At 37.3% G+C, this 27,736-nt stretch overlaps 1 protein-coding gene across 29 annotated transcripts in view; it reads right to left on the bottom strand.

The window, feature by feature from the left end:
• NEO1 (neogenin 1) overlaps positions 1 to 27,736 on the bottom strand; it is a 253,515-nt gene that overhangs the window by 169,867 nt on the left and 55,912 nt on the right. For all 29 annotated transcript variants that reach the window (XM_047432591.1, XM_011521628.3, XM_011521633.4 and 26 more), the window contains 3 exons: positions 18,483 to 18,800; positions 12,540 to 12,815; positions 8,770 to 8,923 (listed from right to left, as the gene is read on the bottom strand). In XM_047432591.1, coding sequence (XP_047288547.1) covers positions 8,770 to 8,923; positions 12,540 to 12,815; positions 18,483 to 18,800 — 748 coding nt within the window. The remainder of the gene's footprint in view (positions 1 to 8,769; positions 8,924 to 12,539; positions 12,816 to 18,482; positions 18,801 to 27,736) is intronic.

Here is a 27,736-nt window from a genome sequence, read left to right as displayed (position 1 = left end):
GCCAGAGAGCAGCTCCCTGGGTGTGGTAGCTGGGCACAAATCAGTCACCATCATGCCATTATCAACCAGGATGTTGATGAATACTGGCCAACTCTACAGAGTTATTTAAGCCGATTTAAAGAGAAAAGAAAATAATCCTATAACATTGAAGAACAATCAATACTCTGATCAAATTTGTATAAAGTGAACAAGTTTAGTTAATTTGGAGAGTTACTAACAAAATCAGACATATAAAGGTACCTGACATAGGGCAAGAGATGCAGTTAATTCTAGGGACAAGTACCTAATTAAAGCTGCCACTTTAAAAGTCACTTTCAGAGATGACATAAATTCAAAATACAGTACCAAACACAATAATAAATGTATACATACATTTTTATTTTGAAGTTCCACATCTAAACTGGTTTTCACAGGCTGGACTTTTCTTCCAAATCTTAATACTGTTACATTTCTAGTCTGTGTCCATGGATCAATTAAAAAACGTTCTGATTATAATTTGGCTTTTCATATAGAATTCCTTATAGGCTGGCCTCAAACTCCTGACCCCAGGTGATCCACCCGCCCCGGCCTCCCAAAGTGCTGGGATTACAGGAGAAACCCCATCTCTACTAAAAATACAAAAATTAGCCAGGCGTGGTGGTGCATGCCTGTAATCCCAGCTACACGGAGGCTGAGGCAGGAGAATCGCTTGAACCCGGGAAGCGGAGGTTGCAGTAAGCCAAGATCACGCCATTGCACTCCAGCTTGGGCAACAGAGCAAGACTCCATCTCAAAAAAAAAAAAGAATTCCTTATAGGATTAAAAAAAAAATCAGAGGAAATGACTATACAGTCTTGGCCACATTTATAATTCTCATTCTAAATAAATAAAGTGCTAGTCTGGCTTAAATTTCATTACATTGTAAAGTCTAGGTAATCAGTCTTCCTGAATCTGATAAACTTGATTAAGTTTCTGGACACAGAAAGCTGAAAGCCAGAATCAGATTTGGTGACTTCTCCAAGAAATACGACCCTGCAAGGTCATGACTAACCTTTATCAAGCAACCTTCCTATCAGAAATGTCTTAATAACACCCTTAAATCCCAGGTTTACCTGATGAAACACAGAAGTAAGATATTATATAATGGAATAGAGCAGGAATGACTGGGATAAAATAAATGGAGAGATAAGACGGGTCTTTGGTGCCTCACAAAATAAGAAAAATTTACAAAAATTAAAATCCTACATTTTATACCTGGATAAAATTTACTACTAAGTTTCAGAAACAAAAAACTTAATGTTCATCAAATGAGAAATCAGCAATGTATACATATGATACCCAGCTGAGATGAACATAATTTGAAACACTAGTTGTCATTTTTGAAAGCGAGATACAGTAATTTATATCTAATAATTACACTAAAAAATATTGTTGATACTTGATGTGCCTGATATTTGGCATATGTGAGTACCAGTAGCATAGCAGTCAGTCTTTCTTAACGGGATTGATTTTACTCCCTTTAAAAAAAGGCTGGGAGAAATAATGTCCATTTGCTTGGCAGAATTAATTCATTCAATTAGTTCATGGCTCACAGTAAAAAGACCATCGAGCCTTTAGAACTCCAAAATTCAAAGATGCAGGCAAAGAAAAAAAACAATGTGAAAAAATATATACAGCCAATGGACTCAAGTAAATTCAGTATTGCTGGGCATAAGGTATCCCTGAGTAGCCTAGGGTCAGTCTGGAAAAGCTTGGAGTGCTAAGGAGAACTTTTATTTTTTGACCAAGCGGAAAGGCTTTCAAAAAAATTATTTCAATAGGCTTTTAGGGAACAGGTTGCGTTTGGTTACATGAAAAAGTTATTTAGTGGTGATTTCTCAGATTTTGGTGCACCCATCACCCAAACAGTGTACACTGCACCCAACATGTAGCTTTTTATCCCTCACCCGCCTCCCACCCTTTCCTCCAAGTCCCCAAAGTCCACTGTACCATTCTTATGCCTTTGCATCTTCATAGCTTAGCTCCCACTTATGAGTGAGAACATAGGATGTTTGGTTTTCCATTCCTGAGTTATTTCACTTAGAATAATGGTCTCCCATTCAATCCAGGTTGCTGTGAATGGTGTTATTTCATTCCTTTTTATTGCTGAGTAGTATGTGTATATATATATACGTATATATATATATACATACCACAATTTCTTTATTCACTCATCAACTGATGGGCATTTGGGCTGGTTCCATATTTTTGCAATTGCAAATTGTGCTGCTATAAACATGCATGTGCAAGTTATCTTTTTTGTATAATGACTTCTATTCCTCATTATAGATACAGGAACGGGATTGCTGGATCGAATGATAGATCTACTTTTAGTTCTTTATGGAATCTCCACACTGTTTTCCATAGTGGTTGTACTAGCTTACATTCCCACCAGCAGTGTAAAAGTGTTCCCTTTTCACCATATCCACATCAACATCTATTACTTTTGATTTTTTGATTATGGCCATTCTTGCAGGAGGAAGGTGGTTTTGCACTGCGGTTTTGATTTGCATTTCCCTCATAATTAATGATGTTGAGCATTTTTTCATGTTTGTTGGCCATTTGTATATCTTCTTTTGAGAATTGTCTATTCATGTCCTTAGCCCACTTTTTGATGGGATTGCTTGTTTTTCTCACTGATTTGTTTGAGTTCCTTCTAGCTTCTGGATATTAGTCCTTTGTCAGATGTATAGATTGTGAAGCTTTTCTCCCGAGCTCTGGGTTGTCTGTTTACTCTACTGATTATTTCTTTTGCTGTGTGGAAGCTTTTTAAATTAAGTCCCATCTATTTATCTTTGTTTTTCTTGTGTTTGCTTTTGCATTCAGGGTCATGAAGTCTTTGCCTAAGCCAATGTCTAGAAGAGTTTTTTGAATGTTATCTTCTAGAATTTTTATGGTTTCAGGTCTTAGGGAAAGGCTTTTGAGCAGAGTAATGACACACTCAGACTTCGTGAAGAAACAAAAAAAGGATGGGAAAACACTAAAGCAGAAGTTTGATTATATAATTACAATGGTCCAGAATTAAAGAGCAAAAGATTATGGCCGTAACAATAGGGACAAAAAGAAAGCAAAAAAGTATTGACTACTCTTAAAAAGTTGGATAAAGAAGGTAAGGAGAGAGATTTACTCATTCATTTAACAAATATTAATTGGTTTGTCTATATGTGTCAGGTAGCAGCTGGGGATATAGCACTGAGCAAAAACACAATCAGTGCTGTCATGCATCTCAAGTGGGAAACACAGACATAGAAGATAACTCTACAAAATGGTATAGCAAAAGAACCTGCCAGGAAATTAGGGATGAGGAGAGATTTTCCTGACAAAGTAACCCTTAAGCTGAGATCTGAAGAATGAGTAGAAGCTAACTAAATAATGAGGTGCGAAAAATATTTCAGAAAGATAGACTAGCACATGCAAATTAATTGTGGCAGAAAGGATCACAGTGGTTTGGGGATCTAAAAGAAATCAGTGTGGCAAAGTGTAAGAAAATAGAGGAGGATGAGGATGGAGCCAGACTGCATAAGGCTTTGAAAACCATTTTAAGAATTTGGGTCCTTAACCTAAGAACAACGGAAATCCATTAAACATTTTTAAAAGTGGGTAGGGGGTTGAGAGTGCTGTGGTAAAATAAGAGCTTTGAAAAGACTGCTCTGGCAGGAGTGTGAAGGTGTATTTGGAATGAGGCCAGAGTACAAGTAGGAAGAACAATTAGGAGGCCACTGCACCGACTGTAACTTAGAATAAGGCACATGGTGCCTTCATGGATGGATTCCAAAGACATGTAGAAGGTAAAATCTTGCAGATACATCAGATAAAGAAACGGAGAAGAAAACAGATGTTAAAGACAACTTCTTTAGGGTGGTAAGAATGAAGAGAAAAGCAAAAAAGAAAACTGTTTAATTTAGTTTTGTATTTGTTGTTATTTGAAAGAGAGGTAAATTTTTTCAAACCTGCACTGAGGAGACCTCTTTCTTCGTTGAGATTTCTACTTTTTCATTTGCTTCAAATGTGTTTATAATTGCTCACTGAAGTGATGCTATGATGACTGCTTTACAATCTTTGTCAGGTAATTCTAAAATCTCTGTCACTGTCTTTTCTCCTTTCAGTTGAGATTTTCCTGGTTCTTGGCATGATGCATTACATTCAACTGAAACCTGGATATTTTAGGTACTATGTTATGACACTCTGGATCTTATTTAATCCTTCTGTTTTAGCTCTCTTCTTCTAACACCACTCTAGCAGAGAAAGTGGGTGTGTGTGGGGGGGTGCTGTCTCATTACTGTCAGGTGGGGGTAGTTCAGGTTTCCCACTCAGCCTCCATTAACATGTAAGTGGGGAGGGGTTTCCTCATTGCTTCTTAGCAGGGTTGGGAGTTCCAGCTCCCCACTAGGCCTCCACTGATGCCTCCCTGGGTAGAAGGGGTAGGATTGTCTCATTATTGTTCCCCCACATGGTCACATGGTGTTGACACCATGAAGCGAGCCTTGCTACTACATGATGGTAAAGCTTTGACTCTCCGCTGGGCCTCCTTTGATACCACCCCAGTGTGAAGGGAAGGGTTGCCTCTTATGGCTGGATGGGGTGAAAGTGGAGGCTCTCCATTTGTTCTCTACTTACATGGGAGGGGCCTCATTACTGCCTGGCTAGGATAAAAGTCTTGGCTCCCTACTCCAACTTTGACACCACTTAGCAAGGAGGCTGAGATGCTTCACTACAACCTGGGAAGGGTGGAAGTCTAGGCTCCTGGCATGGTCTTTGACTGGCATGGTAGGGTGGGGCCACAGTTTCTTCTGCGGTGTTTGACTGGAGTAGGAGAAAGTACAGTCTAACAGCTTTTGTCTTGCTGAGATGCTCTTTTCCTGCCCCTTTGGCTAGAGAGCACCTTCTGTTGAGGCTTTTTTTGTTTGTGCCTAGTAGGATTTCCAGGTTGCTAGCTTCTTTAGCTCCAAGTCTGGGATATATGAGGCAAAACACAGCCCAGGTTCCTGAAAGGGTCTTATGCGGCGGGGGGGGCGGGAAACTGAGCCCACAGAACTAACCACCAAGTTGGCTGGGCACAGTAACGCACATCTGTAATCCCAGCATTTTGGGAGGCCAAGATTGGTGGATCACTTGAGGCCAGGAGTTTGAGACCAGCCTGGCCAACATGGTGAAACCCCGTCTCTATGAAAAATACAAAAATTAGCTGGCAGTGGTGACACATGCCTATAATCCCAGCTACTCATTTGATCCTGGGAGGCGGAGGCTGCAGTGAACTGAGATCACGCCACCACACTCCAGCCTGGGTAACAGAGCGAGACTCTGTCTCAAGAAAGAAAAAAAAGAACTAACAATTATGCTGTTCCTTGGGTCTCAAGCTCCCTAGCTACTCAATCTCAGTCTTTCTCTCTCTACCTTTCAGAGTCTTCTTATGTTTGTTTCACATGTAACATCCAGGGTTTTTAGGTGTATTTAGCAAAAGGAATAGGGAAAAATATATCTACTCAATTTTCCCAGAAGTGGAAGTCTTCCATTTACTTTTTAAATAATCTTATTTTTCTACTACTGTCAATTGTAATAATATCAAGCATTTTAACCTGTTCCCTTGCAGTGGGGTTCAGATCTATCATTCCATTAAAAGATAACATTATTTGACTACTAAATTACATTTTTCTGTCAATCACCTTGAACACTAGCATTTATATTTTCCAGATTCTCTCCCTTTAAAATAAAACTACTTAGTGAATGGGATCCATTTCCACCCCCCTCTTTCATTAGCGATGATTATTGTAAATCTGAACAAATTTGATCAAAGGTTAAATATATAGATCAATTTTTGGACATTTATAAAAGCCATGGAAATGTTCTTAAGTTCACTTTCAAAGAAGTCTTAAGATGAGTAATAAAGAAGGATGTTTAGTTATTTAAGATCTTTTTTTTTTACTAGATCCAGCCTAACACTATCTGAATTTCTAGCCACTTTTTTCTTTCAACTTCTAAGCCTCTTTCTAATTTTGGGTCTAAATAATTTATTAGCTGAGGCCTATCTACATATCTCATAAGGCTCTAGCAGAAACAAAGATATTTTGGGTAATTACATACATCCAACCAAAAGCACTCCTGTGCTCCATTCACTTATATTTTCCAACATTACTTTGGGTTATTCAAGCTAAATATATTGGCCACCACTTCCCCTCCCCAGTTATGGGCCAAGCACTGTGCTAGAGTCTGGAAAGACCAATGTGAACACCACCAACACTGTCCTGCTCTTATTTTCTTCTGAAGCTTCTTGAGACAGTGACATACCAAGGCAGTGCTTCTCAGACTTTTCAGCCACCTAATCTGAGTATTCAGGAGCCTAGAGAACTACAGGCAGAAATAAGTTAACTCAATCTTAAAGTCTACTGCTTTATCCTTAAAATTCAGAGCAGTGTTATTAACCATAATATATTCACATTTGATTTAGTTAAAAATCATCTGCTCCCAAGGATATCTTTGAATAAAATTGGATGTTTCAGGAAGATATGAAACTTTTCTATCATGATGTGCATACCCTGGCCCACTCAGACCCCAGTCTGAGAATCATTCTACTAAAAGAACAATTATCTAACACGTTGTATAAAATAGCAATCTTACCTCTATTTCTCTTGACACTCCTGATATAATTTGTCTTTTCTTCATAGCACTTACCATAAACTGACATTTTTAAATTTTTACTTATTATCTGACTCTTTCCCACTAGACTATGAGCTCTGTAAGATCAAGAACTCCATTTGGTTCACTACTCTATTCCCAGCACCTAGAACATGCATGACATAGCCAGCATTTGGTAAATATTTGTTGAGTAATTATTGAACAAATGAGAATCATAGAAAGCCTCACATTTATTTCTGACATAAAAAATCATTATATATAAGTTTTATATCTTCAGAATGTCCCTTCATGACAAAATATGTTTTAAAATAATATATTTCAGCCTTCCTACTCCTGATAAAGATTTTGTTCTAACTTGTAGCCAATTAAAATTTCTACTGTAAGAACTTCACATTTTTATCACTATTTTAAGGTTCCCTATGTTTCAGTTGGCAAAAAAAAAAAAAAATGAAGTCTTATAAATTCTTTGCTTATGTAATATTTAGCTGGAAAGAGGAGTGGAAAGACAGGGAGGAAGCAAAATGTGAAGACAGGAAGTTGGTGAGTGGATGGATGATGAGAAAGAAATCAGGTGATATTGGGGAGGATGCCATGTTTTGCTAATGGAGCACGTGGGGAACAATCTGATTGTATTCCATCTTCCCCAGTGATCACTGAAGGCTGATCACCCAGATAACTAGATAGATACCTGTTTCTACGTCTTGGATACTGAACTATAAAAATTAAAATTGTCTGTTCACTTTTGATTTTGCAACTGGGAAACTCTAGATCTGCCCTGTCCAAGTCAATAGCCACTAGTCACATGTGGCTACCTGAAATGTGGCCTGTATGACTGCAGAACTGAATTTCTGAAATTTTAAAATAAATGTACAAGCTAAAGCTGTGTTAAAATGTTTCCCACTAAACATAAACTTTATTCTTTTGGTAGAACTACATTTCACATTAACTGGTACATCACATAAAATATTACTATTATATTTATTATTGTACATGTACTTCTTACTTTTTAAAAACGTGGCTGTAAGACATTTTTAAATTACATGTGTGGCTTGCATTATATTTCAATTGAACAGCACTGCTGTAGAACAATGGTCCTCAACTGGGGGCAATTTTGCTTCCCAAGGACCATCTCACAGTATCCAGGGACATTTTTGGTTGTCACAATGCGGAAGTGCTACTGCCACCTATGGGTAGAAGGCAGGGATGCCAGTAAACATCCTACAGTGCACAAGACAGCATTATTTTGGAAGCAAAAACATACCTACCTACCACCACCCCACATCTCTTATGAGAACACACCTAAGAAAAGCACCCACTGCATAAGGAAGTAATGAGAGGAGATAGGAAGGACAGTAAAGTGGTTGGTATTTTGTGAAAGATGAAGAATTTGTGATTTCTGATAGGATTCAAAAGGCAAAAACAACAGGATGAGGAATACAGTTTCTTTTTTTTTTTTTTGAGACGGCGTCTAGGTCTCTCGCCCAGGCTAGAGTGCAGTGACGCGATCTCAGGTCACTGCAACCTTCGCCTCCTGGGTTAAAGCGATTCTTCTGCCTCAGCCTCCCGAGTAGCTGGGACTACAGGCACATGCCACAACGCCCAGCTAATTTTTTGTATTTTTAGTAGAGACGGGGTTTCACCGTGTTAGCCAGGATGGTCTCGATCTCCTGACCTCGTGATCTGCCCACCTCAGCGTCCCGAAGTGCTGGGATTACAGGTGTGAGCCACTGTGGCCAGCCCAGTTTCTCATACTGATTGTGCAGTGGAAAAACTACTATCAAAAAAATGCATATGAGAATGTGTGAGAAGACTCAGGCTACTCAGGACCAAAGCTCTTGCAACAATTTAGGGAAGAAAATCCTGAAGACTTAAGCTGAGTACACTGCGGCTTCAACAGGAACAAAGGGAATAATTATCTCTTAATATTTTGAAAGTATCTTTTTCTTTAAATATCCTCATCATATATATCATATGAACATATTTGAAGGATGACATATGAGCATTATGATGTGTTTAAATAAAGTTGATAATCTTTTTAAATTAGTCAATAGTCCCAAATGGGATATGACAAAGTCTCAAGCTAAGGCTGAAGAAGGCTTTTAGGCAGACAACACTTACCTTTCTGTGTCAAGTGCCTCCTCATTTTTCATCCATTTAATGGTTGGAGTAGGAAGTCCTGAAGCAACACATGGCAACACTACATCCTGACCAATGACTCTGACTAAGGGAGAAGGCTGTTTCAAAAATACCAAGTCTGATATCACCTCAGGATCTAAAAAAAAAAAAAATTAACAAAGACAATAATTAAAGGACAAAACAGGCTGGACATGGTGGCTCACACCCATAATCCCGATACTTTGGGAGGCCGAGGAGGGAGGACTGCTTGAGCCCAGGAGTTTGAGACCAGCGTAGGCAATATAGCAAGACCCCATCATTACCACATACACACACGACAAAGCACTTTACTGCTTTAATCTTGAGGAATGACTGGTTCTTATTCAGTCTGTGTGGCTTTATATGACAAAATATTTTAAGCAAAAGTGATACAAAAATTTCCATTCAAATTAGCAAACACTTCTCAAATAAATTCTATGTGCAAAGCATTGTGCTAGGCTCTTTAGGGGTCTTAAGGATGTATAACTTATTGCTCCTGCCTTCAGGGTACGTACTTGTCAATCAATCGAGAGATATTTGACATGAATCCCATTCACATTGAAAGATAAGATAAAAGCCATGTGTACAAACAGTGGAGACTGAGCAAGCTCAGGACCCATGGCATTCTCCTTACTCACAGGGATAAGAGGTTTCCTTTCCTTCCCTGTATCTGTGTGTTATTTCTGAAAAGCTTTCTGAGTTTCGTCTCTTTAACTTGCTCAGTCTGTCAGTCCCTTGATTTTGTAACTGAGCAACAATCTAGCTACCACTATATTTTTGTATTTCTTATTCAGACATTAGAATTAATGTGTGTTCACTTTATAGAGTTGTCCTCTTGTGAATACATGAAAAGGCCACACTCTTGTGGGCAGAAGACAGAGTTCTCTCCTCAATAAGGTAATATTAACTTAATATTGAGTTTTGACAAAAAGGTCTCAGGCAGAAGAGATGTGACTCTTGTGCCCATATGCTTTGGAAAAGATGTTCTACAGCCATGATAACAACCTCCAGGACTAGCTTTAAACTTGTCTAACCAATTAATGACAGTCTTGTAGCCATGGTAACAAGGAAACATTGCCTAATCGATTAGTGACAACTCACAAGGGTGAATGTGGCTTTGAAAGCCAATCAGTGATAAGCCCAGGCTTTAAAAGTCAGCCAACTAATGGTGGAGTCACTGACTTTTAAGGCTGACATTAACTTGCTCCCACCTCCGTAATCAACCACAAAACATATTTCTATGACTGACATTAATCCACCTCTGTCTCTTAACCAGTACAACCCAAAACAATGTCTTCTGAAAAACTCTATAGGAGATAAGGACTTAGCTTTGCTCAAGAAAACTATGTTTGACAAGCACAACTCTCCCTTACTTAAGTAAGCAAAACATTCCACATTATGTTTTCGTTTCAGATGTTGAGTAGTGATCTCACCTTTTGACACTACAAATCTTGTTTTCTTGGATTCAGATTTTGAGGATTTGCTTAAATGCTACCCTAGGTGTTGAGAAGTATTACCTCTGTCATGTAAAAGCAAGTGAGCAAGCAGACTGAATAATATTGGTATATGGCAATAGTTCTTTTTTTTAATTCAACTTGAATTACTTAGGTATATTTAATTGAATTTTGATAGAATCAATTAAACAAATTCATAGCCAATATTACTGGCTTCTATGTGCCAGAAAGTGTTTTTGGCAGCAGACAAAAATTCCCTGCTCTGGTTGAGCTTACATACTAATGAGGGAGAGAGACAAGTAAGATAGAACATGTCAGATGGTAATATGTTCTGAAGTAAAATGAAGGTAGAAGGAGAAAACACTGGGGGTGGAAATCAAAGATTGTTGTTTTAAACAGAGTGTTCAAGGAAGGCTTCACTGATAAAGCGATATTTGAGCAGAGAGGTAAGACAGTGACCCAGGCAGGTATCTGAGGAAAGAGGATTCCAGAAAGAGAAAATGGCCAAGAGCATATCTGGATTGTTCTAGAAACATAAAGTGATCACAATCTTCGAGTGAGGGAGAAAAGAGTAGGAGATGGGATAGGGGAGAGAAAGGAAGGAAGTGGTATTAAGATTATAAATCTTTACAGCCCAGAACTTTAACTCTGAATGACATGGAAAACCATTAGGGAGTTTTGAGCAAAGGTGTGACAAGATCTAATAATATACATCTCACGCTGGCCACTGTGGCCCATACCTATAAGCCCAGCACTTTGGGAGGCCAAGGTAGGAGAATCACTTGAGCCCAGGAGTTCAAGGCCAACTTGGGCAATATGGCAAAATCCATCTCTAAAAAAAATACAAAAAAATTAGCCAGATGTGGTGGTGTGTACCGTTTGTCCCAGCTACTCGTAGGCTGAGGTAGGAGGAACACTTGAGCCCAGGAGATCAAGGCTGCAGCGAACCAAGATCGCACCACTGCACTCTAGCCCGGGTTACAGAGCAAGACCGTGTCTCAAGACACATACACATATGCATATGCGTGCACAGGCGCTCACACACACACACGCACAAACGCACACTTTAAAAGATACTGTCCTTGCTGAGAATATACTGAGACAGGAATGACGAGGGATAACGACAAAAAAAGAACCTACATTTATGAGTTGAAGGGCTATTAGGAACACCCTCAAGAGTTGTAGCTCACAGTCCTGCTTTGCGAACCAGTCCATAGATTAAAAATGAGCCTATTTAATAGACATATAACTCTTCCCAAATAATGTAGGGATAGTTCAATTATATTCAGAAACTCAAATTTGAGATGAGAAATATGGAGGGGGCACCTAGCAGTGAGAACAGAAGGTAAACAGTCATGAAACACCAAAAGGCTAGAGGGGCTATGATGAGCTACAACTGGGAGGAAGTTATGAGTAAGCAGAAGTTATACAGTGAGAAAAGATATACAAAATTGATTATGAGGAACACCAGAAGGGGCAGGAACTGAGAAGACACACAAAAAGAAGAAAGACTGAAATAGGAGCTGAATTTACACTAAAATGGGGAGTATAAAGATCCAAGGACTCTTGCCTGCCATTGTCTCTAGAGCCACCATGTTAACACTTACCACCCAACCCATCCCTTATACGAACTAGCCTGGATGGGTCTCTGATTTGCACAAGTGAAAAGACCTAACAATAAAAATATCCTATTGTTGGAGAGAAGGCTTGACAAAAGACACAGCACTAATATTTTTTTGACCAAGAAGAATACCATTAGACAGTGAATATACTTTATTGCTTGATAAATTTTTAATAATGCATTCCCTAAAGAGTGGATCTTCTGGCACATTTTCTTCTTTTCACTTCTGTAAGAAACTGAGACTTCCTATGCTGACAGTAAAATGTCATACCGCATATTAACATTCCTCTTTTTTTTTTTTTTGAGATGGAGTCTTGCTCTATCGCCCAGGCTGGAGTGCAATGGCACAATCTCAGCTCACTGCACCCTCCACCTCCCGGGTTCAAGTAATTCTCCTTCCTCAGCCTCCAGAGTAGCTGGAGTTATAAGCGCCTGCCACCATGTCTGGCTAATTTTTGTATTTTTAGTAGAGATGGGGTTTCGCCATGTTGGCCAGGCTGGAACTCAGGTGATCCACCCGCTTCAACCTCCCAAAGTGCTGGGATTACAGGTGTGAGCCACTGCGCCCGGCCAACATTCATTATTTTTAAAAATTCTAACAGAACAATGTTTACCCATTCATAAACATAAAACCATCAGTCCTGATAATGAGTTAATACCTGGAAGAACCTTCAATTCAACTTCATCACTATACTTTGGTGGCCCACCACTTTCCACTACGCAGCGATAAAGCCCGCCATCTCCTTCAGTTGCATTGCTGATAACCAGCATTCCACTTGGAAGTTTGATAACTCTATCATCCAGAAGAAGGGGTTGTCTGTTCTGTTCCCACCTCACAAATGGGACCAAATCTGCATTAACTTCACAATTCAGAATTGCATTGTTCCCAGCATAAACTGAGGAAGGTTCTGGTTGGCTGGTAAATCTTGGAAGACCTGGACAATAAAGGAAGAGAAGAAATAAAATTTATTTAAATATTACTTTAAAATTTTGTCTTGGGAGCCAGGAGCAAGTCAGCTCACATGGCTACAACATATGGCAGAACCAGGGTTGAGAAGAAAGTCCATGGAAATTAGCTAAATACAGGGATACTGGGCAAATAAGTAAATGCATTAAGGATAACTGGAATCAGATTCCTCACAGTTAGAGAAGCAAGGTATAAACATTGAAAAGGAGATGGGTAGAATAAGTCCTATGGTACTGGTCTAGAATGGAGGTATCAGTGTAAACATCATGGTTTTATATAATCATAGATATAAAAATATATATGATATCTATATAAATATAAAAGTATGTGTGAAACATGTACACATTTTGTCTAGTCTTTATTCATTGCTATACATATATATAATATATATAATGTGTATATATATATATATATATATATATATATATACACACACACACACACCCCTATATATTTCCTAGCCCTGTCCACAGAGAAGGTGCAGCATCCATATTACTTCAGTAGCAATGGTACATATGGTGTCTCTACCTTTTCTAAATAATTTCTTGGAGAAATGGCCAATTCTAAGAGTGCAGAAGGAGAGAAAGCACAAGATGAACCTGGTACATCTTACGACGTAAAGTAAGAAAACTGTCCAAAGAACAATGTGGACATATCAAAAGGGCACAGAAGTCAGACTGAAGGGAGCTTCCTCTGATTAAATCTGGGATAATGGTATTAACATGCATTATAACCCACTGAATAAGACAAGAATCTGTCGGTTCATGCAAATATAAACAAATAAGTGGAAGAAAAGGAAAAGCTTTGCCTTATAGAAATGATGGAACTAGAAAAATCACCATTTGATAGTAATAACTGATTCACGTATGAATCCTCAATGGACACCAAAACTAGTAAACAAAAATGTCATGAGGAACAGTATATTTACAGAGTATCAAAGTATCTCTTCCCAAAATACTCATTATTAACTAACAAAAGTACCAAGCTTTACAATGGAGAAACACTGCACAGACCATCTTAAGTAGTAAAAGTTAACATCACCAGCAACAGAACAAAATATCACATGCTTCTTGGCATGATGCACTGAGAACACAGCATTACTTCTGTGGTATTTCTCCCAAAAATGAGGAATCTGAATCTATTCAGGGAGAAATCAAACAAACTCAAAATGAGGCAAGGAAAAACCAAGTTATATCTAAAGAGTTTTAAAGGACACAGCCACCAAGTGAAATATGTAATCTTGGGCCAGAAATAAGAGTATGTGTGGGAGGAGGACAGGCGGGTACTCTGCTTTTGGTTTTTACTATAAAGAACATTATTGAGATAATCAGTGAAATCTAAATTAAACAGTAGTATTGTATTAAGGTTAATTTCCTAATTTTGATGGACATCTGTGGTTATCTAGGAGAATGTCCTTGTTTCAAAGAAATATACACGTAGGTATTTAGGTGGCAGTTACAGGAAAACCTGTCTGCAATTTACTCTTACTGGCTCCGAAAAAATATGTCTTTGGATGTATGCATTTTTGGGGGGTTAAGGCAGATACGATAAGATGTTAACAATCAGGTAATCTAGGTGAAGGTATATGAGATTTCTTGGTTCTATTCTTGCACCTACTCCCTACGTTTAAAATGATCTCAAAATAAAATGTGAACCAAAAATGTCGTCATAAATATAGACGCCACAGGATGTAGCAGCTAAGAGCATCAGTTTTCAAGTCACATATCTGAATCTGAATCCCAACACCACCACTTCATGGGTGTCTGAAGTTGGCAAGTTATTTAACCACTCCCTAAGACTCAGTTTCTTCACAAGTAAAATGAGAATAACAGGCCTCACAGGATTGTTAAAAAAAAAAAAAGTACTTAAAATAAATAATTTATATATAGTATATTGCATAAACACTTAACTAGCTATTATAATATCTAAAAAGTGATTGCTATGCTCAGAATAAAACAATATGTTTCTTTAAGGAAGAGCAAACAAATCATGAGAAATGATTACAGGTTTTCTAGTTTTATGATGGTGAATTAGTCCAAACATAAATCACACAGGTTTTACAGCCCTGCAATAAACTTTTTCTTTTTCTTATTTTTTTTTTATTTCAAGGGGATTTTTGAAGGAAAAAAATAAAGATAAAATTATCTAAAAAATCTGCTTTTTTACCTTGAGCTCCCCAGATTTGACCAAAAATCTACTTTTAAGAAACCAGAATATCAGAAGATAAGAATTAACAAAGATAAACACAGAATTTGATCAAGTTGGGGAAAGGAGGAAATCTTAATCAATAAAACCAAAATATGGTTCTATTTTAATTAAATTAAATTAAATTAAATTAATTAATTAATTTTTTTTATGAGACAGAGTCTCACTCTGTCACCCATGCTGGAGTGCAGTGGCACAATCTTGGCTCACTGCAACATCTGCCTCCAGGGTTCAAACAATTCTCCTGCCTCAGCCTCCCAAGTAGCTGGGATTACAGGCGGGCACCACCATACTGGCTAATTTTTGTATTTTTAGTAGAGATGGGGTTTCACCATGTTGGTCAGGCTGGTCTCAAACTCCTGACCTCAGGTGATCCGCCCGTCTTGGCCTCCTATAGTGCTGGGATTATAGGCGTAAGCCACTGCGCCCAGCTCAGTTGTATTTTTAAAGAGTCAAAAAATTCTTCCTCCTGAGGTCTCATGAAAATTAATAATTTTTAAAATGTAAGCTCACAAAAACATATGGAGAATTGGCAGACAAGAGATTTCAAAAAATTTCTGAGTAGGGAAAGCAGATGGAGGACTAGTAACTGACATAACAAGGCAGGGAACGCTGCAGCTTCCTGCGCTCCCAAGAAGGAAGCCGGTTGTCCTGCTGCCTCTGGAGAACTGCAGGAGAAAAAGGAGAGTGGGAGTTAAGACCCGGAGTTGACAAGAAGATATTAACAATGTCTGTATTTAGAACACCCTATTACCCCACCTCTGGGCACAAAATACTCACAGCCAGCATACTGCCCAGGCAGAAAAACAGAAATTTTGGTTGTGGAGAAATGAGACAGCTCAGAGAAAAAGACCTCTCATACTTAATTCTATGAGTTACCTATTTAATGTTCTTTCAAAAACTTCCCTTCTTGCTTGACTTGGCTACAATCAGTTTCTACTGCTTGCAACCAAAAAACTCTAAGTCTTTTAGATTGGCAATTTGGCAGAATTTTTTTAGGTTTTATTGAGATGTAATTTATATACCATAAAGTTCACTATCTAAAGTACATAATTTAATATTTTTTAGTATATGAACAAAGTTGTGTAATCATCACCATAATCTAATTTCAGAACCTTTTCATCATTCCGGGAAGAAATCTTGTACTCACTTGCAGTCACTCTGCATAACCCATAACTACCCCAGGACACCTACAAGTGGAACTGCTAGGTCATATGGTAACACTATGGTTAACATTTTGAGGAACTGACAAACTAGTACCTTTTAATTGCGCGCACACACACACACACACAGTGTATCCTATGATCCAGCAATCCCAATTCCAGTAATCTGTTTTACAGAAATAAAGATTTGCAGAAGGCAGTTCACTATAGTATTGCCTATAACATCCAACAATTTTAATCCATTTAATTGTTCATCAATAAAGAAATCTTTAAATAAATCACAGTATGTATATCTAGACAATGTATACCATGCAACTATTTAAAAGAACTTTTATTTAATCCCTTAGCTTGGGCACTATTTACTCCTGATACCTAGGGCCAAGAGTGGTTTAAATAACTTTCCTACAGAACCCTGTATGCAGTCATCACAGAATGTATCACCTTCTACGGTGCTGCTTGCTTAGATACTGGGTCAAAAAAATGCTTCCTGAAGGTATCAAAGAGGAAGAATGGACAAACTTAGCAGAGGAGAAGAAAGTGAGGAAAAGGTGGAGGATAAAATTAACAGGCAGTGGGGATGCCATGAGCAAAGGCTGGAAGGCAGAGAATAAATGAAAGGAAACAAAACAGTACTGCCAGTGCTTAAAACTGTGGTGAGGGTGATGGTGGATGTAGGGGACGGGGGTGGGGACAGAGGCAGGGTGAAATGTTAAGAAATAAGGTTGGAGAAGTGGAGGACAGCTCATAAAAGGAATCAACAGGCCTGTTATTTAAGAGTTAGATGTTACCTTGATGGTGTTACTGGAGGATCACTGAAGGGTGAGAAAGAGTACTCTAGACAGGGTGGAGACTGGACTGGAGGAGGGGAAGAATAAGGTAGCAGGCAGATGCTTATAAGGCTGTGGTGAGGGAAGACTGGGAGTAGCCTCGGGAAGGAGAAAGTGGATTAAGTACAGAGAAATTACTAAGCAGAATTCACTGGATTTGATGATAGTATATGGGGGGACAGCCGAGAGGAAGGAGCCCATGAATAAAGCCCAGATAAGAGATATTTAAGAACTTAAATTATAAACAGACACTGACCTAAGTGACGTTGTAGAGGCAGTCATTATACTAATTTATTTATGAAACATGTTGGAGAAAGCCTGGCAAATAGATTATTTTTTAAGGGAGAGAGAAGAAAGAAAAGAAAAGGAAGAAAAATAAAAAGAGGAAAGAAGGAAGCAAGGAAGGGAGGGTAGAAGGGAAGGAGGGAGAGAAGGAAGGAAAGAAAAGGGAAATTGGCAAAAGGACCCATTTTTTTCTTCTTTTATTTTTCCATCCTCAATCTATGATTATGGAATAATTACAGAAACTTTGTCACACCCAAATTCAACTTTGAGTATTTGTCCCCAAAGAGGAAAAAAACCAGCCATTATGCTCTGAATGTATAAGCAAATATACTCTGGAGTGAGCATGAGATGGGAAACCATAATCCTGGAGTAGGAATGAGATGGGAGACTACTGTCTCTGAGGTTCTGTCTCACACGTGGGCGTTTCACCAAGGTGAGAGTAAATACAGGACTTAAAGATAACATTTTTGTATAACATGACCCTTCACAAAAACTATTTCATCTGGTACTCAAGTAAAGAAACACTATCTCAGGAACGCTAGTATCTACTACAAAACAGACATGACTTACTTAGAAACCACATCTTACTCTTCAAGATCCCTAATTTTTCTTACACTTTCCATCATTCTTCAAATAAGGATACTCTGAAAAGGAGGGAAAGTTCCTCTCTTTATAACTTTCTGCTCTCCACCTTAATATACACTCTGTAGATTTTAAAACAATTAATCCAATTGAATGTCATTTCCTTGGTTAAGGCATCAAGGAACCAGGATTCTGACTTTACTGCAAGTTTTACAAAACCATACTAAATGGTTATGCTGGGTAAGATAGAAGTTGGCCGTCAAAGTGATTTAATTTTCCTATACCACTTCCTCTGCCACTTCCAAGTTTAAAAGGAGAAAAGAACTGCTCAGTACTTCTGATAGCAATATTAAGCCATCAGACAAGTGGAAACACGCTACAGTTTATTCTCTACGGCACTGAGCAAGCCCTACAGCAAGGTCCCATACGCAGAGTATATGCACAATTGATATCTGTTAAATGAGTATATTTGTTGCTACTAATTAAAAGAAAACTCCAAGAGAACAGTGCTTTTATCAAGATGTATGTTATAAATATTTGAAAATGCAAAAAAAAAAATCACTTAAAACTTACCTGCTACTATGAGCTTCGCTGTTCTACTGATAATAGTTCCAAGACTCTCAACAGTGGCCACACACTGATAATAACCTTCATCAGGTTTATTGTGTTTGGAATGCACCACATTGCTGATAAATAAAGATCCATCCGGGAGAAGCTGGCGTCGATCATCTGATACTAAGTTTAAAAAAGTTCCATCTTTTTTCCATTCAATTTTTGGAGAAGGCTCAGAATATGCTGAACAGTTTAATATAACAGAAGAGCCTCTAACTGAGAGTGTATCCACCGGCTCCACCAGAAAATAAAATGGAGTGAACGTTCGAATGCTGGCTCCTACAAAAATAAAGAAAAAGAACAAAGTTAAGCAAATCTCTCTTCTATTATTTGTCAGAAAATATATTACTAACAAGTCCAAAAATTATTAACTGTTGTTCTTTGAATGTGACACATAAATATAGTCATCTCACTACAAATGTCTAATAAATAAGATTTACTTTCAAGTAGGAAACCAAACTTTGAGCCATTTAGAAGAACATTAGGGGAAAAAAAAACCTTCTACCTGAGATAAACAAGCCTTGTTAAATGACATGAGTATCTAATAAAAGTTTTATTTCAAACCCTAGAATCAGATTTATAAATACTTTAAGTTACTGCATTCAAAGTGAAATTCTCTGTTGAACATAAAAGAGGCAGAAAATTAAAATGATTCTTAAGAGGTATCTTTTTATGTTTATCAGTTATTTGTATTTTTTTCATAAATTTACTATACACACACTTTGTCCATTTTCTAGAGAATTTATTCATCCGACTGACTTAAAAAGCAATCTGCTATCATATTTTACAAATATTCTTTTTTCCATTTGACTTTATAATATTTGTTATAAGAATAAATTTTAAGCTACATAAAACTAAACATAGTTATACTTAGGTCTTTTTTATCCCAAGATCATAAAAAATTTCAGCCTTGCTTTGTTCTATTACTCTTGTGATTTTCTACATTTAATCTTCATCTAGAATTCATTTTAGTGTAAAGAGCACGGAAGGAATTAGCTTACTTTCTCTAAGTCCCTGTCAGTTCTTTGAACATGGGAAGAACAAAATTTAAAGAAAAATATTTGTTATAAACCTTATACTCTCAGCCTGTTGGAAAGCTTTCCAACTTAAAGCTTTATCACTTTTCTTCAAGAAAACTTCTGACCAATTCCCTTGTAAACAACTCAAGTTGTCATCAGCTTTCTTCATGTGAAAAATCAGAGAAACCCAATCCAGCAAATGAAACTAAGACTGTTTTTCGAATATATCTACACACTTCTTTATAATTTATTTGCATTATGAATTTAAGGATGACATAAATTCTATATTATATAATGAACAAACACCTCTAAAGAAATATAAAACACACTGGCAGAGGAAAAGAAATAACATTCAATTGTTTTAAAAGTTTTCCAATACTTCAATGATAAACAAATTCTAATTCTAATCAGACTAATTACACTTTCCCAAACACCACAAGCAGGTATTAGAAAAGAGGTGGCTGGGCACGGTGGCTCACGCCTGTAATCCCAGCACTTTGGGAGGCCAAGGTGGGTGGATCATGAGGTCAGCAGTTCGAGACCAGCCTGGCCAACATGGTGAAACCCCATCTCTACTAAAAATACAAAAATTAGCCAGGCATGGTGGCACATGCCTGTAGTCCCAGCTAGTTGGGAGGCTGAGGCGGGAAAATCACTTGAACCTGGGAGGTGGAGGTTGCAGTGAGCCGAGATTACACCATTGCACTATAGCCTGGCAAGAGCCAGACTCCGTCTCAAAAAAAAAAAGTGTTTCAGGTCTCTATGCCCATTTAATGACCATGAAATTTATTTTTCAAGTCTTAAAATTCCTGAAAATAAGCTTAGAAATTTTTAAAAAGTAACCTGCAATTAGTTTCTTATTACTATCAAAATGTTTATGTTGCATTAGTTTACTGGAATCATAGTAGAATAAACACATAAATAAAAAGTATAAAAAGATAGCTAAACTAAGAGAAATTACCTTTATATCTTTACTATGTAACTATTAAATCTCTATTATACCCCCCAAACTTAACTCAGAAACTTAAAAGATAAATGTGTTAGATTGGTGGTTAAAATACACAAATTAAAAATCTGAAATATTGTATTACTGATAATAAAATACATTCTATTTCAAAATTACAACACAATTTTTGCCATTTGAAAAAATACCCCCAAAATTACAATTTAAATGTTTCGCAGTTTAACACTGTCTTGCTTTTTATTTCATTTTTAAAATTGAGCCAGGTTGAACAACGAAAAAAAGTATATGTGTTTGAAAAAGTAAGAGTGAATTACACTCAAAGGAAAGCTTACAAATGCCTTTCAAAATCAAGGCACTTCAAAATTTTTACAAAAAGTTACTTAAATATTTCTGTATATCGTTTTGTATTTTGTTCTCTCAGTAGGAGGGCAGTGACCTAAGATATCCTCTCTTCACTTAAAACCCCTCAAAGGCTTGCCGTTGCCTTTTACAAAGAAACCTGAAGAAACTCCTTTAGTCGACTGCCACGTCAGTCACCACCTGATCTAGCTTCTGCCTATTTCCAGCTCCCCTGCATTGCTCTCCCAGTCAGTTCCCCACCGCTCCCGCCTCTTCACACAAGCTATTCCCACCACCACTCCTTTTCAGTCAGTTCTCAGTCTTCCTTCAAGCTCAGCTTAAATATCATTTGCTCAGAAATGCTGTCTGTCCCAGGTGCCCAGGCAATGTTAGTTTTGCCTGTTCTAAGCAAGCATGGTGTATGCGCTACCTACAGAGCACTCCAAATGTTCTTAATCTTTGAATATTTGTAATAACTTTAAGTTAAAGTAGAGAGGTTCCCAAACTTGCTTGGCTCCTGGTACCCTTATTTTCTCTATAATTTCTTTCAAGAATTCCATAGGTCAAAAGAGATAGCTAACCATCCTATTTCTTTTAACAGTTAGGTTCAAACAAAATGAGTATCTATGTCCCAACAAATTAACACCTTTTTGAAAAAATAATACATGCAAACTGAAAAATATATATATATATTTCATTTTAAAATAACCACAATTAGTTACTATGGGATGTTTTCACCTACAGGGCCCTGCACAACTTCTAAAACTTAGATGCTGTGCAACTAAATACTGCCACCCACATTTCCTGTTCCACACTGATTTTTGCATAGTACTTGCTTTTTAAAACAGTAACCACTAAAAGCTCAACTTCACAAAGATATCACAGGTACAAAATGAAGATGGCACAATCAGCTGTTGAAACTGTGAACTACCTTGAGCTAGAAGTTCGCATAATGTCCAACAGATGTGGCCATGTTTCCCTAGAAGTTTGAAATGACCCTGGGAGTTCTCTGAGGTTCCTTTGGGTATCTCAGGGTATAGTTTGGGAAATGCAGGCTTATGATCTATCTTTGTACAGTTTTCATTTGCTATATTCCCAGTACCCACCTAGCATGGTGGATGGCACTAATCTTTAGATTACATAACCAGATAACTTCTAAAAACTTCCAATGGTTAAAGTATTAATAAGAGACTGCAGGTTCCATTCTAATAATGGCCACTTAGTATCACTCCTTTCCACACTAAGACTTAATAACAAACAGTTTTTGTAAATTCTGATGAGTGTTTACAAAACTATATGGAAGAGCAAAAAAAAAAAGCCAGTAAGAGCCAAAGTAATTCTGCAAAACAAAGTAAAGGGACTCCACTTGTTAGTTACAAGTATGTATAAAGCTATAGTAACTAAGCCACTGTGGCTCTGGAGCAGAGGATAAAGACACATAACAGGCTATAAAGCCCCCAAACAGAGCTATATATATTTGGAAACTTAACATGTAGTAGAGATGACATTTTAAATCGATTGAGGAAAAGGATGAACTAACTACTCAATAAATGTTACTAGGACAACTGGTTATCCATATGGGAAAAAAATGAGATGCCTACTCACACCATGTAATAACAGTAAAAGCACATGTTTCTATGTACCAGATAATGTTCGAAATATTTTCTACATAATAACCACTCATTTAAGCTTCACTATCATCTTACAAAACAGGTACAAGAATCAGCCCCATTTTAGAGAGGAAAACAACATATAAATGTTAAGGACCTTGTCAAAGGTCGAACAGGTAGTAAATCACAGAACCAGGGTCTGTGATCTTATACTACATTATTGTTAGCTATTTGTTCATTATCTGTGATCTTATACTACGTTATACTACAATGCCACTCAATATAGACATAAAAATGTATTCCAGGCCTATAAAAAATGCAAGTGATAAAAACCTTAGAAGAAATTTTAGGAAAATACAAGGATAATCCTGGAGTTAGGCAGCCTTTTAAATCAAAATAGGAAACTAAAAGCTAGAAAAGAAGAGGCATGTTTTACTTTATTGCATTAAAAAAAAATTTTTTATGGCAAAATACCATAACAAAGCAAAAGACAATGGATTGGGGGGAAAATTGTGTCACATATAACAGGTAAAGAATTTAAAAGGTTAAACTGCTCAATACAAAAATGGGTGAAGCTATGTTCCAACAAAACTTTATTTATACAAATAGGTGGCTGGATGGATTTGATCCGTTTATTGCAGTTTGCTGATCCTTGCCTTAGAATATTATCCAGCAAAAAAAAAATGAGTGGGCTACATTTCAGTTGATGTAGAATCAGTTCTGTGAAAAATGAATAATGAAGATGAGTGTAAATTATATAATTTCATATGTATATGATTATATGGGCATTGAGAAAGGTAGGAAAAATGTACACCAGGTTGTTACTACTGGTTACTGGGAGAGGAAAGATAGGAGAAAGGGAGTAGAGGAAAGATAAAAATCCCCAAGCAGATAAAATAGTTCCATGACAAAAATCATCTTGTATGTATAATCCACTTATAAATACTACATTGGCTGGGTGCTGTGGCTCACCCTTGTAATCCCAGCACTTTGGGGAGCCAAGGCAGGCGGATTGCTTGAGCCCAGGAGTTCAAGACCAGTCTGGACAACATGTCTAAACCCCATCTCTACCAAAAAACAAAACAAAACAAGACAAAAATTAGCCAGGAGTGGTGACCTGTACCAGTAGTCCCAGCTACTTGGGAGGCTGAGGTGGGAGGATCACTGGAGCACGGGAGGAAGAGGATGCAGTGAGCCAAGATTACACCACTACACTCCAGTCTGGGTGACTGAGGGAGACCTAGTCTGGATGACCAAAGAAAACCTTGTCTCTAAATAAATAAATAAATAAATATTATACCTTTATATGTGGCAGGTGTGATGTATGTTCACACTCGTGTAAATAGCTAAAGAAAAACATTTTTTAAATGGTCGCCAAAATAAGGATTATCTCAAGGATTTCAGTTGATTTTTAATTTTTTCTTTCACCTTTGGTATTGTCTAAATATTTTACATAAAAATAGTATTACTTAAGCAGAAATATAGCCATCTTCATTCATAAATTCATACACACATATCGTCTGCACAGGAGAGGAACATTATGAAAAGTCTGGGGTACATTTGTATGCTGAGATTAAAAGATTGTCAAGATACATAAATAATAAAAAATGTACGTTCAAAATATGTCGAGTATGACTCTTCTGATATTAAAATATGTACACATGTACAGATGCTTGTGTGCCCATATTTAAATGCAAATACAAAGGGAAAAGACTAGAATAACAAACACTGAACAGTTAACATTGTTTTCTCCCTGGGGAGAGTAGTGGGTTTGAGCTGCCAAAAGAGAGCAGAGAGCGTACAGGGAGAACACTTTTTACTCCGTGTATTTCTGTTTGCTACTTTTATATATGTATATATATGAACAATTGCATACACATTCTTCTTATCTTTTTTTTCAGTAACAAAAATTTTGTTGGTGGTGGTGGAGAACAATCCTTTGCTTGGAACAGGAGATTATTTTCTAAAAGATCTATCATCATTTTCTTTACCCACTTTTTGTTACAATAAAAGGGTTATCAAACACTCACTCCTTAGCTGACTTTGTATAAAAACTGGCTTATACTTCTCCCCAGGGACCTGACTCCCAGCCAATTATATTTGCTTAATTTTGGTTTAGTATGGCCAGAGTCACTGGATTCCATTTTGAAATAGGTTTAATGATCCTATCTAATATCTTCTACATTCCCAAGTCTCTTCAAATTTCTCACGTCTTAATGGAATAGCTCTCACTTCTTGATAGACTATTCCTCACATTCTGATAGAATACTTCACACTTCTTGATAGAATTCCATCTTACAGAAAGAAAATATCCACAGGGAACTCCTTTCTGTTGTAACTCCCAACAACATCAACAAATCATATCCCTCGGTGCATGTCTTAATTGTGTGTGACCAGTAATAATTCTAAACTTTATTGTACCCAGAGTAAAACATTAACATATGGTATCTGAATACTTGCAGAAGTAAAATGAAACCTGTCTTATTGCCAAAAGAGGTTCAAAGTTTAGTAGTAGCAGAAACTCAGGGCAGAAGGATAAGTAGCATTTTTATATACCTACAAATGCAAGCATTCTGTATAATGTTCATTGTAAGAAAAGTATCACTTTATTATCATAAGCTAAGACACTACTGTCAAAGGACTTCCTATTTTTCTTTTTTTACTACTTGTTAATGTTTCTTTCAACCATCCCATCCCTTCTCGTCAGTCTCCAAATCCTACATTTCATCCATCTTGATTCTTTAGTGTCCACTATCACTATGCGGTTCAGACTATCTTGCTTCAAATTCTCAACTACCTTAGAAAATTAGAAAATTAAAATAATTTAACATTCAAAGATCTCAACAACATTCATGTTATTAACTAAGAGCAGGCAACACTTAAGCGTTAACAAACATTTTCCACCCTGCTTTGCTACGTAACAGTTAGTGCTCCTGGTTCCAGAGTTCAGTCTCTCTCTGCCCTGCACAGCTGATTTCTCCAAAGACTGATCTACCTCAGACACATCATCTTCCCTATATTTCAACTTTACAGAACCCCTCTCCTGGGGAAAACATGCAATTAATTGTTAATATTATACAGATCATTTTAATTGTCTGATAAACATATATGCTTTTAAAACTTCACGGCATACAACTATACCATAAAAACACTGGATGTCAATGTCTAATCAAAGCTAGATCTAAAATTCTTGTTCAGGATCATAATGTCCTATAGGGAAATTCTAGGGTGATTCAATTTCTATAGGGTAATGTACCTTGATACACTGTTCTAATTTACAGCCACTACCTTCCCAACCACTCCCCCAAATAAAAAAAAAAATCTAAATTCCTTTATTCCACAAAAATTTATAAGAGTGCTTTCCTTTTCTTCAATTTTCAGCCTTGTTCTTCTCCCCTCCATCTTCCTCCCTGCAAAAAGACACTAAAAAAAGCTATGGGACAGTAAAGTAAGGCAGACATATTTTTGAATCCTAGCCCTTGTGTGCTAGTTGCTTAATTTCTCTCTGTATCTAACATTTTCTCCCCCATCAAACAGGAAAAATTATGCCTCCTTTCAAGGAAATTTCTGTGAAGATGAGAGAGAATTTGTATAAAATTCCTCACTGCTTGGCAGATAACACGTCCTCAATAAATAGTTAACTATTCACAGTTCAAAAACCTATAATATCTCCCCCAAAATCGCTAACAGTCTAGGACCTTAGTTTTCACAATCACATTTTAGAAATTGTTATGTATAAAATAATATGGACTGTACTTCTACGCATATTTTGACAACTGTTATGTGTAAAATAATATTAAGTGATCTTAAAACCAAGTTTGATCATCTTTCTTCCCTAATCTTTAAAGAACTCCCCAGTACAGCTAAAATAAAACCCAAATTCATTACCATGGCCTGCCTACAGGATCTGGTTCCTGCCTCTCTCCAACCTAATCTCCTATCACACTTCCTCTCACTTCTCTCAATGGGCTGTGAATAAGCCACATTATTCAGTCTCTTGAACAAGCCATGTCCTTTCTCACGCTGGGGCCTCCGCATGTGCCATCCCCTCTGCCTGGAACACTTGCCCTGCACCCACTCTCTGTCGCATGGCTAGCTTCTTCCTTCATGTTTTAACCAAACTGTCCCTTCTACAGAGGCCTTTTCTAACAACTATTTCTGAAGAGATCCTAGTCCTCTATCCTTCTACGCTATGTGTAATCTTCACAGCAATTACCTGTTTGCTTTTTCCTCTTTTCTAAGGTCTATCTTCCCATGAGCAGGCTAGACTATTAGAGAGTATTAAAATGACCCGTCTTGCCATGGCTATTTGCACCTTGGTTTTTGTTTGTTGTTTTGTTTTATCCTTTTTCAGTGTCCTATAGGTAGGAAAGGTGCCTGGGCCAAGATGGAATTAAGTATTAGTGGTACTTAATGACTGTGGATAACATCAAATCTCCATTGCTTTTTCTAAGATCAGCCTTAGTCTCCAAAATTTGATCTCAAGATGACTTGAAGTCTGTCCTTTGTAAAAATGTTTTATGTAACTTCTTAAAGTACCATAAATAACTAAAGTTAATATTTTATATAATTTCTTCATGATGTGCAAGAAGACAAGGGGCAATGTGATAACCTGCAAACAGTACCATTAATGTTCTAACCAGTTACTTGGAAATTCTCCAAAACAATTCTCAGGAAAAGTCCATTAATAATAAACAGTCTTAGCAATATTTAGCTCATATTTAGCTATACTTTAGCTCAAAAGTGGGGGAAATCTGAATTGGTCATTTTTCATTCTGCTAGATGAGAAATATATAAGAATTGTTTCACATTAATTACAGAACGTTCATGAAAGCTTTTGGGTTTTGTTGTTGTTGTTTGTCTTTTTGGTACAGACCGGGCCTCACTATGTTGCCCAGGCTGGTCTCAAACTCCTGGTTTCAAGTCATCCTCCCGCCTTAGCCTCCCAAAGTGCTGGGAATGCAGGCATGAGCCACTGCACTCAGCCTAGAAATATCTTATAAGCCACTTTTTAATACTGGTGGCCAGAAGATTCTCCTAAGAGTAAGACCCAATACTGATGCACATTCACCCAATACAGTTGCAAAGTCTTTTAAATTTCTGAAATGAGTATTTTTCAGTTCCACTTTTGCTATACTGATGAAAATATGGCTGCAATGATAATATAATGTAAAAATTAACTTGGAGGTACAATTCAATCCCCTGAATGATGGCATTGTTTTACACTGTAATATTCAACTACCACCATTTCATTTTAGCAACATCACCGTCTTTAGGAATGCT

This window comes from Homo sapiens, chromosome 15, assembly GCF_000001405.40.
Source record: "Homo sapiens chromosome 15, GRCh38.p14 Primary Assembly".
Classification (NCBI taxonomy): Eukaryota; Metazoa; Chordata; class Mammalia; order Primates; family Hominidae; genus Homo; species Homo sapiens.
Note: the sequence above shows the minus strand (reverse complement) of the source record. Positions and strands in the feature narration are given on the sequence as shown.